General features: G+C 40.9%; 1 long non-coding RNA gene across 2 annotated transcripts in view, besides 2 other annotated features; it reads right to left on the reverse strand.

The window, feature by feature from the left end:
- Positions 1–19,438, reverse strand: part of LINC02391 (long intergenic non-protein coding RNA 2391) — a 104,570-nt gene that overhangs the window by 52,020 nt on the left and 33,112 nt on the right. The gene's annotated exons all lie outside the window — the stretch shown is intronic.
- Positions 13,798–14,298: an enhancer, noted in NCBI's record as "H3K27ac hESC enhancer chr12:92718856-92719356 (GRCh37/hg19 assembly coordinates)". NCBI's record gives its function as "activates a minimal SCP1, AML or CMV promoter by ChIP-STARR-seq in naive H9 embryonic stem cells {active_cell/tissue: H9 hESC(naive)}" and the evidence as "EXISTENCE:reporter gene assay evidence [ECO:0000049][PMID:30033119]".
- Positions 14,299–14,799: an enhancer, noted in NCBI's record as "H3K27ac hESC enhancer chr12:92719357-92719857 (GRCh37/hg19 assembly coordinates)". NCBI's record gives its function as "activates a minimal SCP1, AML or CMV promoter by ChIP-STARR-seq in naive H9 embryonic stem cells {active_cell/tissue: H9 hESC(naive)}" and the evidence as "EXISTENCE:reporter gene assay evidence [ECO:0000049][PMID:30033119]".

Consider the following 19,438-nt stretch of genomic DNA (forward strand, 5'->3'; position numbering starts at 1 on the left):
TAAGAAGCTTTCACTATTCTCTTCTCAATGGATTTAGAGCAAAAATATAAGTTAAAAGAGTAGGCAAATTTATCCAAGCAAATATCACAGGGGTATTAAGAAAGAAGGTCATCCAATTAACTAATTACTTCTTACATATCCTGGCATACTAATCAAAATCAGTTGCTATCAGAAATCTGGGCTCAGAGAAAGCAGGCAATCCAAGTTGGAAATTCACTTGGCTTTTAAAATCTCAAAAGGCATCATTCACATGTGATGGCTATGGTACAACTAAATATTGACATGATATTTCTTGGAATTTGAAGACATTTTGCTTTTCATTGTACTCCCTATCCCTTCCTTGTTTCAGTCCTGTGTACATGTATAGTGATATCAGAATTGTCAGCCAATACTGAACTTGATCAGATACAGCACAGTGCTTATGTACAGTTTCTTTTACTCTAGTCTTAGAGCCTCCACTCATTTTCAAAATTATGTGGTTCAACACCCTTCCCCAACCCTTTCAGTGAGGTTGTTTCATACATTTGTAATACAGCAGGTTGTGAAAATTATGTGGCCAATTGGCAGCATAATTTCCTGAAACTTCAGGGAAAAGTTCCAATGGATAAAAAGGTGAAGGGAATTAATGTCTATTGAGTGTTTATTAGGTACTCAACAATTTTTATGTATGTTCCATTTAAACCTCATAACAACCTCATAGAGATCTTGTAGACCAACTAAGGAACTTATTGTTATTTTTAATGTAAAAGGAAGCTGTTAGATGTAAAAAAACACGAGACTATGGGAGATACTCAGTTTCTTTCCCACACCTGCAGATGGTAGAGTTAGGACTGGAACTCAGGCTTTAAGTTTTTTAGCTTCATATTCATTTGTTTCACAACATCTGTCATTAACCTCTGAGGTCCTGCACCGGTTCTCACCGGATCCTCCCACCGCCAAGCTGGTGGGAAATAGGTATAAGTAGTGAGAAGGCAGTTATATGGAAGAACAGTAAGAGAGAGAGGAGGAGGGTACAAGGTAATGAAGTCTAAGCAGGACACTGGCAGGCCAGGGAAGACTTGAAGAGGAGCCCATACATGGATAGGTTGACTTAAGGTCCCCAGTTTAATTCCAAGTTACTCTTCTTTTAGATCCAGTTCATGGAAAGTTTCCAAATGCCCATTAGGGGGTATCTCCCTTCCACTGGAGGCGTCATGCTAACCAGAGACCTGAGGTGTTCCAGACTTTCTTCAGCATGGCAATATTTCCTGTCTTTGGCCTATTTTCCTTGGGCCAAGCTCCTTAAAGGTCTTGGCTTCTCTGCCAAAGAGACCTGGGATCATCAGGCAATAATCCTCCAATTTATTGCCCCTGTTCTACATTCCTGATCCATGACTATTTGCAGACCTTGGGACCAGCTTTCCAAAACCCAGCATAAGCTGCTTTAATTTTATCATTGTCCTATAATTTCATGGAAATGGCTGCTGCAAAGCCAACAAATGACTAATAAAATCCCTCAGCCCACTCATTTTTAATGTCATTCTGGAACTCCAGAACAGAGACCATCTGGTTACAGTGCTTACTTTAATATAAAAGAGGAGCTGAATTGAAAATCATATTTCTGAGAGAACACTGAAACAAGTTATCTGTTTGTAAACCCAAAGCACCGCACAACAAGTCAAATGTTTCCTTGAGCAGTGATAAAATACTCTAGGTGCTACATACTCAACTTTGTCTGTATACACACACACACAAGCAGACACACATGATAGACAAACATCAGTCAACACTCTACCATTAATAATTGTTCCATTCATTGAGTATTATCCTTGTGCCAGGCAATGTACAAAACACCCCGGATTATTTTGCAAGAGTACTATTAGCACTGTTAGTATATTCATTTTATAGGTGAAATAAATAGAGGATAAGTAAACTTGCTCGAAGTCACACAGCTAGTAAATAACAAGGCCAGGCTCAGGACCAAGGTCCATCAGTTTAGTTTCTACACATGTGCCCTGAGCAACTGAGTTGTTTGACTTTGTGTGTGTGTGTGTGTGTGTGTGTGTGTGTGTGTGTAAAGATTACCCCAAGCAATAACTAATTTTTCAACTAGGTGAAATAAGTTTTTTTTAATTTTAAATTGTTTTAAATTGTGGAATAATTTTATTTATTTATTTTTATTTTCATAGGTTATTGGGGAACAGTTAATGTTTGGTTATGTGAGTCAGTTTTTTAGTGGTGACTTGTGAGATTTTGGTGCACCCATTATCGCAGCATTATACACTGCACCATATTTGTAGTCTTTTATTCTTCACCCCCTTCCCACCCTTTCCTCCTGAGTCCCCAAAGTCCATTTTGTCATTCTTATGCCTTTGCATCCTCATAGCTTAGTTCCCACTTACTAGTGAGAAGATGTGATGTTTGGTTTTCCATCCCTGAGTTACTTCACTTAGAGTAATAGTCTCCAATATCATCCAGGTTGATGCAAATGCCATTAATTCATTTTTTATGGCTGAGTAGTATTCCATATGTACCAGTTTCTTTATTGACTCATTGACTGATGGGCATTTGGGTTGGTTCCACGTTTTTGCAATTGCGAATTGTGCTGCTATAAACATGAGTGTGGAGGTATCTTTTTTTATAATGACTTCTTTTCCTCTGGGTAGATACCCAGTAGTGGGACTGCTGGATCAAATGTTAGTTCTACTTTTAGTTCTTTAAGAATTCTCCACTTCCCGAGCCAAGATGGCCGAATAGGAACAGCTCCGGTCTACAGCTCCCAGCGTGAGCGACGCAGAAGACGGGTGATTTCTGCATTTCCATCTGAGGTACTGGGTTCATCTCACTAGGGAGTGCCAGACAGTGGGCGCAGGCCAGTGTGTGCGCGCACCGTGCACGAGCCGAAGCAGGGCGAGGCATTGCCTCACCTGGGAAGCGCAAGGGGTCAGGGAGTTCCCTTTCCGAGTCAAAGAAAGGGGTGACGGACGCACCTGGAAAATCGGGTCACTCCCACCCGAATATTGCGTTTTTCAGACCGGCTTAAAAAACGGCGCACCACGAGACTATATCCCACACCTGGCTCAGAGGGTCCTACGCCCACGGAATCTCGCTGATTGCTAGCACAGCAGTCTGAGATCAAACTGCAAGGCGGCAACGAGGCTGGGGGAGGGGCGCCCGCCATTGCCCAGGCTTGCTTAGGTAAACAAAGCAGCTGGGAAGCTCGAACTGGGTGGAGCCCACCATAGCTCAAGGAGGCCTGCCTGCCTCTGTAGGCTCCACCTCTGGGGGCAGGGCACAGACAAACAAAAAGACAGCAGTAACCTCTGCAGACTTAAGTGTCCCTGTCTGACATATTTGAAGAGCGCAGTGGTTCTCCCAGCACGCAGCTGGAGATCTGAGAACGGGCAGACTGCCTCCTCAAGTGGGTCCCTGACCCCTGACCCCCGAGCAGCCTAACTGGGAGGCACCCCCCAGCAGGGGCACACTGACACCTCACACGGCAGGGTATTCCAACAGACCTGCAGCTGAGAGTCCTGTCTGTTAGAAGGAAAACTAACAACCAGAAAGGACATCTACACCGAAAACCCATGTGTACATCACCATCATCAAAGACCAAAAGTAGATAAAACCACAAAGATGGGGAAAAAACAGAACAGAAAAACTGGAAACTCTAAAACGCAGAGCGCCTCTCCTCCTCCAAAGGAACGCTGTTCCTCACCAGCAACGGAACAAAGCTGGATGGAGAATGATTTTGACGAGCTGAGAGAAGAAGGCTTCAGACGATCAAATTACTCTGAGCTACGGGAGGACATTCAAACCAAAGGCAAAGAAGTTGAAAACTTTGAAAAAAATTTAGAAGAATGTATAACTAGAATAACCAATACAGAGAAGTGCTTAAAGGAGCTGATGGAGCTGAAAACCAAGGCTCGAGAACTACGTGAAGAATGCAGAAGCCTCAGGAGCCGATGCGATCAACTGGAAGAAAGGGTATCAGCAATGGAAGATGAAATGAATGAAATGAAGCAAGAAGGGAAGTTTAGAGAAAAAAGAATAAAAAGAAATGAGCAAAGCCTCCAAGAAATATGGGACTATGTGAAAAGACCAAATCTACGTCTGATTGGTGTACCTGAAAGTGATGTGGAGAATGGAACCAAGTTGGAAAACACTCTGCAGGATATTATCCAGGAGAACTTCCCCAATCTAGCAAGGCAGGCCAACGTTCAGATTCAGGAAATACAGAGAACGCCACAAAGATACTCCTCGAGAAGAGCAACTCCAAGACACATAATTGTCAGATTCACCAAAGTTGAAATGAAGGAAAAAATGTTAAGGGCAGCCAGAGAGAAAGGTCGGGTTACCCTCAAAGGAAAGCCCATCAGACTAACAGCGGATCTCTCGGCAGAAACCCTACAAACCAGAAGAGAGTGGGGGACAATATTCAACATTCTTAAAGAAAAGAATTTTCAACCCAGAATTTCATATCCAGCCAAACTAAGCTTCATAAGTGAAGGAGAAATAAAATACTTTATAGACAAGCAAATGCTGAGAGATTTTGTCACCACCAGGCCTGCCCTAAAAGAGCTCCTGAAGGAAGCGCTAAACATGGAAAGGAACAACCGGTACCAGCCGCTGCAAAATCATGCCAAAATGTAAAGACCATCGAGACTAGGAAGAAACTGCATCAACTAACGAGCAAAATCACCAGCTAACATCATAATGACAGCATCAAATTCACAAATAACAATATTAACTTTAAATATAAATGGACTAAATTCTGCAATTAAAAGACACAGACTGGCAAGTTGGATAAAGAATCAAGACCCATCAGTGTGCTGTATTCAGGAAACCCAGCTCACGTGCAGAGACACACATAGGCTCAAAATAAAAGGATGGAGGAAGATCTACCAAGCCAATGGAAAACAAAAAAAGGCAGGGGTTGCAATCCTAGTCTCTGATAAAACAGACTTTAAACCAACAAAGATCAAAAGAGACAAAGAAGGCCATTACATAATGGTAAAGGGATCAATTCAACAAGAGGAGCTAACTATCCTAAATATTTATGCACCCAATACAGGAGCACCCAGATTCATAAAGCAAGTCCTGAGTGACCTACAAAGAGACTTAGACTCCCACACATTAATAATGGGAGACTTTAACACCCCACTGTCAACATTAGACAGATCAACGAGACAGAAAGTCAACAAGGATACCCAGGAATTGAACTCAGCTCTGCACCAAGCGGACCTAATAGACATCTACAGAACTCTCCACCCCAAATCAACAGAATATACATTTTTTTCAGCACCACACCACACCTATTCCAAAATTGACCACATAGTTGGAAGTAAAGCTCTCCTCAGCAAATGTAAAAGAACAGAAATTATAACAAACTATCTCTCAGACCACAGTGCAATGAAACTAGAACTCAGGATTAAGAATCTCACTCAAAGCCGCTCAACTACATGGAAACTGAACAACCTGCTCCTGAATGACTACTGGGTACATAACGAAATGAAGGCAGAAATAAAGATGTTCTTTGAAACCAACGAGAACAAAGACACCACATACCAGAATCTCTGGGACGCATTCAAAGCAGTGTGTAGAGGGAAATTTATAGCACTAAATGCCTACAAGAGAAAGCAGGAAAGATCCAAAATTGACACCCTAACATCACAATTAAAAGAACTAGAAAAGCAAGAGCAAACACATTCAAAAGCTAGCAGAAGGCAAGAAACAACTAAAATCAGAGCAGAACTGAAGGAAATAGAGACACAAAAAACCCTTCAAAAAATCAATGAATCCAGGAGCTGGTTTTTTGAAAGGATCAACAAAATTGATAGACCGCTAGCAAGACTAATAAAGAAAAAAAGAGAGAAGAATCAAATAGACACAATAAAAAATGATAAAGGGGATATCACCACCGATCCCACAGAAATACAAACTACCATCAGAGAATACTACAAACACCTCTATGCAAATAAACTAGAAAATCTAGAAGAAATGGATACATTCCTGGACACATACACTCTCCCAAGACTAAACCAGGAAGAAGTTGAATCTCTGAATAGACCAATAACAGGCTCTGAAATTGTGGCAATAATCAATAGTTTACCAACCAAAAAGAGTCCAGGACCAGATGGATTCACAGCCGAATTCTACCAGAGGTACAAGGAGGAACTGGTACCATTCCTTCTGAAACTATTCCAATCAATAGAAAAAGAGGGAATCCTCCCTAACTCATTTTATGAGGCCAGCATCATTCTGATACCAAAGCCGGGCAGAGACACAACCAAAAAAGAGAATTTTAGACCAATATCCTTGATGAACATTGATGCAAAAATCCTCAATAAAATACTGGCAAACCGAATCCAGCAGCACATCAAAAAGCTTATCCACCATGATCAAGTGGGCTTCATCCCTGGGATGCAAGGCTGGTTCAATATACGCAAATCAATAAATGTAATCCAGCATATAAACAGAGCCAAAGACAAAAACCACATGATTATCTCAATAGATGCAGAAAAAGCCTTTGACAAAATTCAACAACCCTTCATGCTAAAAACTCTCAATAAATTAGGTATTGATGGGACGTATTTCAAAATAATAAGAGCTATCTATGACAAACCCACAGCCAATATCATACTGAATGGGCAAAAACTGGAAGCATTCCCTCTGAAAACTGGCACAAGACAGGGATGCCTTCTCTCACCACTCCTATTCAACATAGTGTTGGAAGTTCTGGCCAGGGCAATCAGGCAGGAGAAGGAAATAAAGGGTATTCAATTAGGAAAAGAGGAAGTCAAATTGTCCCTGTTTGCAGACGACATGATTGTTTATCTAGAAAACCCCATCGTCTCAGCCCAAAATCTCCTTAAGCTGATAAGCAACTTCAGCAAAGTCTCAGGATACAAAATCAATGTACAAAAATCACAAGCATTCTTATACACCAACAACAGACAAACAGAGAGCCAAATCGTGAGTGAACTCCCATTCACAATTGCTTCAAAGAGAATAAAATACCTAGGAATCCAACTTACAAGGGATGTGAAGGACCTCTTCAAGGAGAACTACAAACCACTGCTCAAGGAAATAAAAGAGGACACAAACAAATGGAAGAACATTCCATGCTCATGGGTAGGAAGAATCAATATCGTGAAAATGGCCATACTGCCCAAGGTAATTTACAGATTCAATGCCATCCCCATCAAGCTACCAATGACTTTCTTCACAGAATTGGAAAAAACTACTTTAAAGTTCATATGGAACCAAAAAAGAGCCCGCATTGCCAAGTCAATCCTAAGCCAAAAGAACAAAGCTGGAGGCATCACGCTACCTGACTTCAAACTATACTACAAGGCTACAGTAACCAAAACAGCATGGTACTGGTACCAAAACAGAGATATAGATCAATGGAACAGAACAGAGCCCTCAGAAATAACGCCGCATATCTACAACTATCTGATCTTTGACAAACCTGAGAAAAACAAGCAATGGGGAAAGGATTCCCTATTTAATAAATGGTGCTGGGAAAACTGGCTAGCCATATGTAGAAAGCTGAAACTGGATCCCTTCCTTACACCTTATACAAAAATCAATTCAAGATGGATTAAAGATTTAAACGTTAGACCTAAAACCATAAAAACCCTAGAAGAAAACCTAGGCATTACCATTCAGGACATAGGCGTGGGCAAGGACTTCATGTCCAAAACACCAAAAGCAATGGCAACAAAAGCCAAAATTGACAAATGGGATCTAATTAAACTAAAGAGCTTCTGCACAGCAAAAGAAACTACCATCAGAGTGAACAGGCAACCTACAACATGGGAGAAAATTTTCGCAACCTACTCATCTGACAAAGGGCTAATATCCAGAATCTACAATGAACTCAAACAAATTTACAAGAAAAAAACAAACAACCCCATCAAAAAGTGGGCGAAGGACATGAACAGACACTTCTCAAAAGAAGACATTTATGCAGCCAAAAAACACATGAAAAAATGCTCATCATCACTGGCCATCAGAGAAATGCAAATCAAAACCACTATGAGATATCATCTCACACCAGTTAGAATGGCAATCATTAAAAAGTCAGGAAACAACAGGTGCTGGAGAGGATGTGGAGAAATAGGAACACTTTTACACTGTTGGTGGGACTGTAAACTAGTTCAACCATTGTGGAAGTCAGTGTGGCGATTCCTCAGGAATCTAGAACTAGAAATACCATTTGACCCAGCCATCCCATTACTGGGTATATACCCAAATGACTATAAATCATGCTGCTATAAAGACACATGCACACGTATGTTTATTGCGGCATTATTCACAATAGCAAAGACTTGGAACCAACCCAAATGTCCAACAATGATAGACTGGATTAAGAAAATGTGGCACATATACACCATGGAATACTATGCAGCCATAAAAAATGATGAGTTCATGTCCTTTGTAGGGACATGGATGAAATTGGAAACCATCATTCTCAGTAAACTATCGCAAGAACAAAAAACCAAACACCGCATATTCTCACTCATAGGTGGGAATTGAACAATGAGATCACATGGACACAGGAAGGGGAATATCACACTCTGGGGACTGTGGTGGGGTGGGGGGAGGGGGGAGGGATAGCATTGGGAGATATACCTAATGCTAGATGACACGTTAGTGGGTGCAGTGCACCAGCATGGCACATGTATACATATGTAACTAACCTGCACAATGTGCACATGTACCCTAAAACTTAAAGTACAATTAAAAAAAAAAAAAAGAATTCTCCACATTGTATTCCATAGCGATTGTACTAGTTTACATTCCCACCAGCAGTGTAGAAGTGCTCCCTGTTCACTGCATCCATGCCAACATCTACTGTATTTTTATTTTTTGATTATGGCCATTGTAGCAGGAGTAAGGTGGTATCACATTGTGATTTTGATTTGCATTTCCCTGATCATTAGTGATGCTGAGCATTTTTTCATATGTTTGTTGATCATTTGTACATCTTCTTTTTGAGAATTTTCTATTCATGTCCTTAGCCCACTTTTGATGGGATTGTTTGTTTTTTGCTTGTTGATTTGAGTTTATTTTAGATTCTGGATATTAGTCCTTTTTCATATGTATATATTGTGAAGATTTTTTCCACTCTGTGGGTTGTCTGTTTACTCTGGTGACTGTTCCTTTTGCCGTGCAAAAGCTCTTTAGTTTAAGTCCCAGCAATTTATCTTTGTTTTTATTGCATTTGTTTTTGGTTCCTTGGTTATGAACTCCTTGCCTAAGCTAATGTCTAGAAGGGTTTTTCCAATGTTATCTTCTAGGGTTTTTATAGTTTCAGGTCTTAGATTTAAGTCCTTAATCCATCCTGAGTTGATTTTTGTATAAGATGAGAGATGAGGATCCAGTTTCAGTCTCCTACATGTGGCTAGCCAATTATCCCAGTAACATTTGTTGAAAAGGGTGTCCTTTCCCCACTTTATGTTTTTGTTTGCTTTGTTGAAGATCAGTTAGCTATAAGTATTTGTGTTTATTTCTGGGTTCTCTATTTTGTTCCACTGGTCTATGTGCCTATTTTTATGCCAGCACCATGCTGTTTTGGTGACTATGACCTTATAGTATAGTTTGAAGTTGGAGAATGTGATGCCTCCAGATTTTTTCTTTTTGCTTAGTCTTGCTTTGGCTATGGGGGCTCTTTTTTGGTTCCATATGAATTTTAGAGTTGTTTTTTCTAATTCTGTGAAAAATTATAGTGGTATTTTGATGGGAATTGCATTTAATTTATAGATTGCTTTTGGCAATATGGTTATTTTCACAATATTGATTCTACCCATTCATGAGCATGGGATATGTTTCCATTTGTTTGTGACTTCTGTGATTTATTTCATCAGTGTTTTGTAGTTTTCCTTGTAGAGGTCTTTCACCTCCTTGGTTAGGTATATTCCTAAGTATTTAATTATTTTGCAGCTATTGTAAAAGGGGTTGAGTTTTTGATTGATTCTCAGCTTGGTCACTGTTGGTGTATAGAAGAGCTACTGATTTGTGTACACTAATTTTGTATCCAGAAACTTTGCTGAATTCTTTTATCAGTTCTAGGAGCTTTCTGGAAGAATCTGTAGTGTTTTCTAGGTAAATAATCATATCATCAGCAAACAGTGACAGTTTGATTTCCTTTTTACCGATTTGGATGCCCTTTATTTCTTTCTCTTGTCTGATTGCTCTGGCTAGGACTTCCAGTACAATGCTGAAAAGGAGTGGTGACAGTGGGCATCCTTGTCTTGTGCCAGTTCTCAGAGGGAATGCTTTCAACTTTTCCCCATTCACTATGATGTTTGCTGTGGGTTTGTTATAGACAGTTTTTATTATATTGAGGTATGTCCCCTGTATGCCAATTTTGCTGAGAGTTTTAATCATAAAGGGATGCTGGATTTTGTAGAATGCTTTTTCTGCATCTATTGAGATGATCATGTGATTTTTGTTTTTAATTCTGTTTATGTGGTGTGTCACATTTATTGACTTGGTATATTAAACCATCCCTGCATCCCTGGTATGAAACCCTCTTAATTATGATGGATTATCTTTTTTATATGTTGTTGGATTCAGTTAGCTAGTATTTTGTCAAGGATTTTAGCATCTATGTTCATCAGGGATATTGGTCTGTAGTTTTCTTTCTTGGTTATGTCCTTTCCTGGTTTAGGTATTAGGGTGATGCTGGCTTTATAGAATGATTTAGGGAGGGTTTCCTCTTTCTCTATCTTGTGCAAGAGTGTCAATAGGATGAGTAACAATTCTTCTTTGAATGTCTGGTAGAAATCTGCTGGACTTTTTTTATTGGTAATTTTTAAATTACCATTCAATCTTGCTGCTTGTTATTGGTCAGGGTATCAAATTCTTCCTGATTTAAGCTAGGAGGGTTGTATCTTTCCAGGAATTTATCCATATCTTCTAGGTTTTCTAGTTTATGCACATAAAGGTGTTCATAATAGCCTTGAATGATCTTTTGTATTTCTGTGGTGTCAGATATAATAAATCCCATTTCATTTATTAGTGAGGTTATTTGGATTTTCTCTCCTCTGTTCTTTGTTAATCTTGCTAATAGTCTATCAATTTTATTTATCTTTTCAAGGAATGAGTTTTTTGTTTCACTTGTCTTTTGCATTTTTTTGTTTGATTCTTTCAATTTCATTTAGTTCTGCTCTTTCCTTTCTTCTGCTGGGTTTGGGTTTGGTTTGTTCTTGTTTCTCCAGTTCCTTGAGGTGTGACCTTATATTTTCTGTTTGTGCTCTTTCAAACTTTATGATGTAGGCGTTTAGGGCTATAAACTTTCCTCTTAGCACAACCTTTGCTGTGTCCCAGAGGTTTTGATAGGTTGTGTCACTATTGTTCAGTCTGAAGAATTTTTAAGGCCGGGCGCGGTGGCTCACGCCTGTAATCCCAGCACTTTGGGAGGCCGAGGCGGGCGGATCACGAGGTCAGGAGATCGAGACCATCCTGGCTAACACGGTGAAACCCCGTCTCTACTAAAAATACAAAAAATTAGCCGGGCGTGGTAGCAGGCGCCTGTAGTCCCAGCTACTCGGGAGGCTGAGGCAGGAGAATGGCGTGAACCCGGGAGGCGGAGCTTGCGGTGAGCCGAGATCGAGCCACTGCACTCCAGCCTGGACGACAGAGCAAGACTCCGTTTCAAAAAAAAAAAAAAGAATTTTTAAATTTCCATCTTGATATCATTTTTGAGCTTATAATCATTCAGGAGCAGGTTATTTAATTTCCACATATTTGCATGGTTTTGAAGGGTCCTTTGGAGTTGATTTCCAGTTTTATTTCACTGTGGCCTGAGAGAGTGCCTGGTGTAATTCCAACCTTCATAAATGTATTGAGGCTTGCTTTGTGGCCTATTATACGGTCTATCTTGGAGAAAATTGCATGCACTGTTGAATAGAATGTATATTCTGCAGTTGTTGGATGGAATGTTCTGTATATATCTGTTGTCTATTTGTTCTAGGGTATAGTTTAAATCCATTGTTTCTTTGTTGACTTCCTGTCTTGATGACCTGTCTAGTACTCTCAGTGGAGTATTGAAGTCCATGACTATTATTATACTGCTTTCTATCTCATTTCTTAGGTCTATTAGTAATTGTTTTATAAACTTGGGAGCTCCAGTGTTAGGTGCATATATGTTTAGGATTGTGATATTTTCCTGTTGGACAAGGCCTTTTATCATTATATAATACCCCTCTTTGTCTTTTTTAACCACTGTTGCTTTAAAGTTTGTTTTGTTTGAGATAAGAAATAACTACTCTTGCTCACTTCTGGTGCCTATTTGCCTGCAATGTCTTTTTCTATCCCTTTATATTAAATTTGTGTGAGTCCTTATGTGTTAAGTGAATCTTTTGAAGGCAGCAGATAGTTGGTTGGTGAATTCTTATCCATTATGCAATTTTGTATATTTTAAGTGGAGCATTTAAGCCATTTACATTCAATGTCAGTATTGAGATTGAGGTACCATTCCATTCACCTTGCTATTTGTTGCTTGTATACCTTGTTGTTTTTTTTTTTGTTTTGTTTTTTTAAATTGTATTTTTGTTTTGTAGGTCCTAGGAGATTTATACTTTAAAGAGGTTCTGTTTTGATGTGTTTCCAGGATTTGTTTCAAGATTTAGAGCTCCTTTTAGCAGTTCTTGTAGTGGTGGCTTGGTAGTGGTAAATTCTCTCAGCATTTGTTTGTCTGAAAAAGACTGTATCTTCCCTTCATATATGAAGCTTAGTTTCACTGGATACAAAATTCTTGGCTGATAATTGTTTTGTTTGAGGAGGTTGAAGATAGGGCCTCCCCCCCTTCTAGCTTGTAGAACTTCTGCTGAGAAATCTGCTGTTAATCTGATAGGTTTTCCTCTATAGGTTACCTGGTGCTTTTGTCTCAAAGCTCTTAAGATTCTTTCCTTTGTCTTAACCTTGGATAACCAGATGACAATGTGCCTAAGTGATGATCTTTTTGTGATTAATTTCCAAGGTGTTCTTTGTGCTTCTTGTATTTGGATGTCTAGGTCTCTGGCAAGGCCAGGGAAGTTTTCCTCAGTTATTCCCCCAAATATGTTTTCCAAACTTTTAGATTTTTCTTCTTCCTCAAGAACACTGATTATTCTTAGGTTTGGCTGTTTAACATAATCCCAGACTTCTCGGAGGCTTCGTTCATATTTTCTTATTGTTTTTTCTTTGTCTTTGTTGGATTGGGTTAATTCGAAGACCTTGTCTTTGAGCTCTGAATTTCTTTCTTCCACTTATTCAATTCTATTACTGAGACTTTCCAGAGCAGTTTGCATTTCTATAGATGTGTCCATTGTTTCCTGACATTTTTATTGTTTTTTATTTATGCTATATATTTCCTTGAATATTTCTCCCTTCACTTCTTGTATCATTTTTTGGATTTCCTTATATTGGGTTTCGCCTTTCTCTGGTGCCTCCCTGATTAGCTTAATAACAAACCTCCTGCATTCTTTTTCAGATAAATCAGGGATTTCTTTTTGGTTCGAGTCCACCGCTGGTAAGCTAGTGTGATTTTTTTGGAGGTGTTAAAGAACCTAGTTTTGTCATATTACCAGAGTTGGTTTTCTGGTTCCTTCTCATTTGGGTAGGCTCTGTCAGAGGGAAGGTCTAGGGTTGAGAGCAGTTGTTTAGATTATTTTGTCCCATGGGGTGTTCCCTTGATGTAGTACTGTCCCCCTTTTCCTGTGGATGTGGCTTACTGAGAACCAAGTTGTAGTGATTGTTATCTCTCTTCTGGATCTAGGTACCCAGCAAGTCTACCAGGCCCTGTGCTGGTACTGGGGGTTGTCTGTACAGAGTCCTGTGATGTGAACCATCTGTGGGTCTCTCAGCCACGGATACCAGCACCTGTTATGGTGGAGGTGGCAGGGGAGTGAAATGGACTCTGTGAGGGTTCTTAGCTTTGGTGGTTTAATGCCCAATTTTTGTGCTGATTGGCCTCCTGCCAGGAGGTGGCACTTTCCAAAGAGCATCAGCTGTGGTAGTATGGGGAGGAGCAGGTGGTGGGTGGAGCCCTAGAACTCCCAAGAGCATATGTCCTTTGTCTTCAGCTAGCAGGGTGGGTAAGGAAGGACCACTGGGTGGGGGCAGGGCTAGCCACGTCTGAGCTCAGACTCTCCTTGGGCAGGTATTGCTGCGACTGCTGTGGGGGATGGAGTGAGGTTCCCAGGTCAACAGAGTTATGTTCCTAAGAGGATTATGGCTGTCTCTGCTGTGTCATGCAGGTTGTCAGGGAAATGGGGGAAAGCCAGCAGTCACAGGCCTCACCCAGCTCCCAGGCAATCTGAAGGGCTGGTCTCACTCCCACTGTGCCCCCACCAACAGCACCAAGTCTGTTTTCAGGCAGTGGGTGAGCAGGGCTGAGAACTTGCCCCAGGCTACCCGCCTCTAAGCTGCAAAAGCAAATATGGCTTTCCTTCTTCCCCTACCTGTGGAGTCTGCACACTGGATTCACACCCTCCCCCAAGTTCTGGCCAGAAGGGCTCTTGAACAGTTCAAATTGTCACAAAGTTCAGCTGGAGATTTTCTTCTCCCTTTAGCCTTTGCTCAGCATCTCTGGCCACCCTCCCAAAGGACCCCTGTGAGGCTAGGCAAAAACAACTTGCTAGGGGGCCCAGCAAGCTCCCAGGGCTTTTCCCACTGCCTCTTCTACTCCTGCATTTTTCTTGGCTCTCCAAATTGACTCAGCTCCAGGTAAGATCAGAATCTTCTCCCGTAATGTAAGCCTTCAGTGTTCCGAGTGGAGGTGTGTGTTTGGGGCCAGATGTTCTCCCTTTCTCACTTCCACAGTTTGAGCACTCACAGTATTTGTGGTGTCTCCCAGGTTCTGCAGAAGCCATCCGCTTCCTTCAGGGGGTCTGTGGGTCCTCTTGGGTTTCCTGATTTATTCCTGCAGTTGTTCTGGAGCAAAAATTCACAATGCAAGCCTCCACACACTGCTCTGACCATCTGAGTTGGAGCTGCAATCTAGTCCTGCCTCCCATCCATATGATCCATGATCACAAGGTAAAGTCCCACGATAGGCTGTCTGCAAGTTGAGGAGCAAGGAAGCCGGTGGATCAGTCCAAGTCCCAAAACCTTAAAAGTGGGGAAGCTGACAGTGCAGCCTTCAGTCTGTGGCCAAAGGTCTGAGAGCCCCTGGCAAACCACTAGTGTAAATCCAAGAGTCCAAAAGCTGAAGAACTTGGAGTCTGATGTTCAAGGGCAGGAAGACTCAGCAAGTCTCTAAAATTGTGGAATGATTTTAGATTTGCAGAAAAGTTGCAAAGATAGTACAGAATTTCCATATACTTTCTCGCTTAGCTTTCTCTAATGTTAACATCTTACATAACCATGCTACATTTGTTGGAACTAAGAAATTATCATTGATACAATTATGATGAACTCAACTACAGATGTTATTCAGCTTGCAGAATGGTTTTTATTTGCAATTTTTCTTGTAACTTCTGATTTGATCATCTTTTTTAAGCCTCTATGGGGTTTTTGTTTGTCTGTTTATATTGCAGGTGGTTGAGTGTAGTTTCCAATTGTGTTGAGTTATGTATTAAACCACCTCTGCCCTTGACTGACACTGGGGACCCCAAGAACTTTGCCACTTTCTCCTCTGCTAATCTTCTGTATTTTCAACTTCACCAGGTTTACTCTCCTTCCTTCCTTTTTTCCTCCCTCCCTCCCTCCCTCCCTTCCTTCCTTCCTTCCTTCCTTCTTTCCTTCCTCTCTCTCTCTCTCTCTCTCTGTTTTGTTTTGACACAGGATTTCACTTCTGTCACCCAGGTGGAGTGCTGCAGTGGCACGATTCTGGCTCACTGCAACCTCCACCTCCTGGCCTGAAGTGATTCTCCTGTCTCCCAAGTAGCTGGGACTACAGGTGCACACCACTTCGCTTGGCTATTTTTTTCTGTTTTGGTAGAAACGGGGTTTTGTCACATTGCCCAGGCTGGTCTCGAACTCCTGAGCTCAGGTGATCCAGCCGCCTTGGCCTCCCAAAGTGCTGAGATTACAGGTGTGAGTGGCCATGCCTGGCCAACCTCACCGGATTTCTTTACATGAATTTCAATCTTGTGATTCAACTTGGTTGCTCTGCCTCTGCTTTTAGCTATTTCTTCTTAACAAAATTTGTAGCCCGACTCAGAACTCAAAAGTTCTGAGCCTCAGTTTCTGCATGTCACATTGGTTTTCCTTCAGGACATATTTTATAATGGGAATTTAATTGTCCCTCTAGCTTGACCCTAAGGTTATTGTGTTCTTATCATAAGATTATACTCTTACTGTACTTATCTCAGTAATCACAGTTCATAGGAAGGACCCAAATCTCCTGCTCTGACAATTGATTTTCCCCATTTTATGGAGGATGTAGAAACCTAAAGTAATTGGTTCAGAATTACATAGCACATAACTGGAAAATTAAAAGACCCAGGGAACGAGGGAGAACTGGGTATCTAGGTATTCTTTAGTTGTTAGGACAAGTGCAGGTTAAAATAAAAAAAAAAACAACAGAAATCAAACATCATGGAAAGGTATGTTTCAGAAAAGAGCTTAAAAGTCTTTTCCCTGCCAAATGTCAGAAACACTTTAATCCACATTTGGAAAGGAATGCTGTCATTAGTTACAGCATTTGACCAGGCAAAACAAGTATTAAAATCAGACTTAACATGTCTGAAACAAATTTCCTTCCTTCCTTCCTTCCTTCGATTTTTTCTTTCCTTTCTTTCCTTTCCTCTGTCTTTGTTTCTTTCTCTCTCTCTCTCTCCTTCCTTCCTTCCTTCCTTTCCTCCTTTTTTCTGAAACAAGTCCCTTATCTTACCTTCCTGATTTATTACTGGATCTGCTGTATTCCCGGGCACCCACCTAGGAAACTCAGTGTCACCTTTTATTCTCTCCACACTGACATACAAACCAATTGCCAAGTCCTGCCAATTTTGCCTCTTCTGCTCTCATTTTTACTCTTGTCTTTCCATTTTTACTGTCATCATTTTTGTGCTTAGGTGATCTCATAAACCTGTTGATCTATGTGTTCCTACTATACATGTGGACAGATTAGGTTCTGATAGACAGTAACTGTCAGGCCTCTAATTTGCTCAGAAACTTCAATGACATTCCCATACCTACTGAGATCAGAATAGACTCCTTCCTCTGGCATTTGAGCTCCTCCATCCTCATGGCCCACTTTTCCAGTTTTATCTTTTTTTGAGACGGGTCTCACTCTGTTGCCCAAGCTGAAGTGCAGTGGCATGATCTTGGCTCACTGTAGCCTTCACCTCCTGGGCTCAAGCCATCCTCCTGCCTCCGCTTCCTGAGTATTTGGGACTATAGGCATGTGTACTACCATGTCCAGCTAATTTTTGTAATTTTTGTAGAGATGGGGTTTTGCCATGTTGCCTAGGCTGGTCCTGAGCTCAAGCGATCTGTCCACCTCGACCTCCTAAAGTGCCGGGATTACAGATGTGCAGTACCTCACCTGGCTGTAGTTTTTAGCTATTATTATTCCTTTACCATGTACACCATGAATCAACCATGCTAGTTTATGTTTTTCCTTGAACATATACTGCCACCAGCATCTTAGCATATGCAGTTTCTTCTGCTTGGAAGGGTTCCTCTATTCCCACTCCTAATCTGCGCTTGTTGGCATACAATATATCAAGCGTTGGCAAATTATAGCCTAAAGGCCAAATAAAGTCTTATTTGAACATAACTACACCCATTCATTTAAGTATATAGTCCTTTTGGCCAGAAGTGGTGGCTCACACTTGTAATCCCAGCACTTTGCGAGGTTGAGGTGGTGGATCACCTGAGGTCAGGAGTTTGAGACCAGCCTGACCAATATGGTGAAACCCCATCTCTACTAAAAATACAATAAATTAGCTGGGCATGGTGGCCACCTGTAGTCCCAGCTACTCAGGAGGCTGAGGCAGGAGAATTGCCTGAATCCAGGAGGCGGAGGTTGCAGTGAGCCGAGATCGCACCATTACACTCCAGCCTGGGTAACGGAGCAAGACTCCATCTTAAAAAGAAAAAAAAAGTATATAGTCCTTTATAGAACATGGGTGCTAAACTCTGAAATACATCCTTAGCCAATATTGATTTCTCTGTGTATCCAATTCAACATGTTTCAGCAAAAAATTGTTGTGTTCCTACCATGTGGTAAATGTACAAAATCAGAAAAGTTATGGCCCTTCACTCAAGGGGCTCACCACGTGAAAGTGATGACACAATTATAAAACTATACAATTCCTCTACAATATACCAAGTAGATGAATAGCAATCCATAGATGAGATACCTGTTAGCACAGAATAGGGAGTGGTGAACATTTTGGAGGGGATGAAATGCTAGGAAACAGATGATTAATAGCTGAGGGGGATTGGAAATTATATATAGAAGTTTATCAAGGTGACAAAGGGTTAAAGACACTCCAGAGGAACAGCATGTACAAAAGGGTTGGACATAACCATGCGTTCTCTTTAGGGAACCTCAGGTGGGCCCTTACAAAAGCAAAATGGAAAGAGGATGGGCTTGGAGGCAGACTAACCTGGATTTGAATCCTGGCTCTCATGCAGATTAACTGGGTGACTTTGAGCAAGTCTTCAGATTCTTTTAGCCCATTTTCTTTTCTAGCAGTATTTACATGAATTAACTGATATGACATAATTGAAACATTATGGCACATCATTTGACATAAAAAATGGCGACAAAAAAAAATTATTGTAGTTCTCATCAGTATGTAGCAAAACAAAAAAGTTTACATAGGTTAGCATGAGACAGAAAGAGTAGAGAGAAAGGCACGCAGGCCTCAAAATAAAAAGACAGCTGTTTTTTCCTCGGTATCTCATGGTCTCTATTGTTCCAACCATACCTGTTCCTTCCTGCATTATACATAGTGGTATGCTGATCTAATCCTTTCTTTCCTGTGAACTCCTGGAGGGAAGGGACCTTTCCTTATTCTTCTCTGTGTCTCTCAAAGTGCTTAGCACTGTGTCATGTATAGAGCAGGCCTCTAATGAATATTTGCTGAATTTTTAAACCTTAGATTATGAAAGTCACTTTCACAGTAATCAACCCATTCTTTTCTATGAAATTGAGACTGAGTTGTAAGGTGTTTCATTGATTTGAGCTTTCCCAGATTGATGATCCCAATTCTAACTTGTAGATTCCAAGAAGTGGCATTTGTTCGTGTTTCTTCTCTCTTTCCCTCACTCTCTCATTCAGGTTCACTTTTCCCTTTTAGAAACGTCCTTCAGCCTCCCTCCCGGTGGCCACTGCTCTTGCAGGCGTGGCTTCTATTTATTGTTACATTCACACCAAATTGCTCAGGATTTGTATCAGACCTTTTTCTGATAGGCTTGTGGGAAGGAAAATTAGAATAAACAGGAGCGGATTATTTTAGGTCTTGAGAGGAAGACAGTATGTTTTTGAATCCTTCCACAAAAGCAAGCC

Source organism: Homo sapiens, chromosome 12 (genome assembly GCF_000001405.40).
Source record: "Homo sapiens chromosome 12, GRCh38.p14 Primary Assembly".
Taxonomy (NCBI): Eukaryota; Metazoa; Chordata; class Mammalia; order Primates; family Hominidae; genus Homo; species Homo sapiens.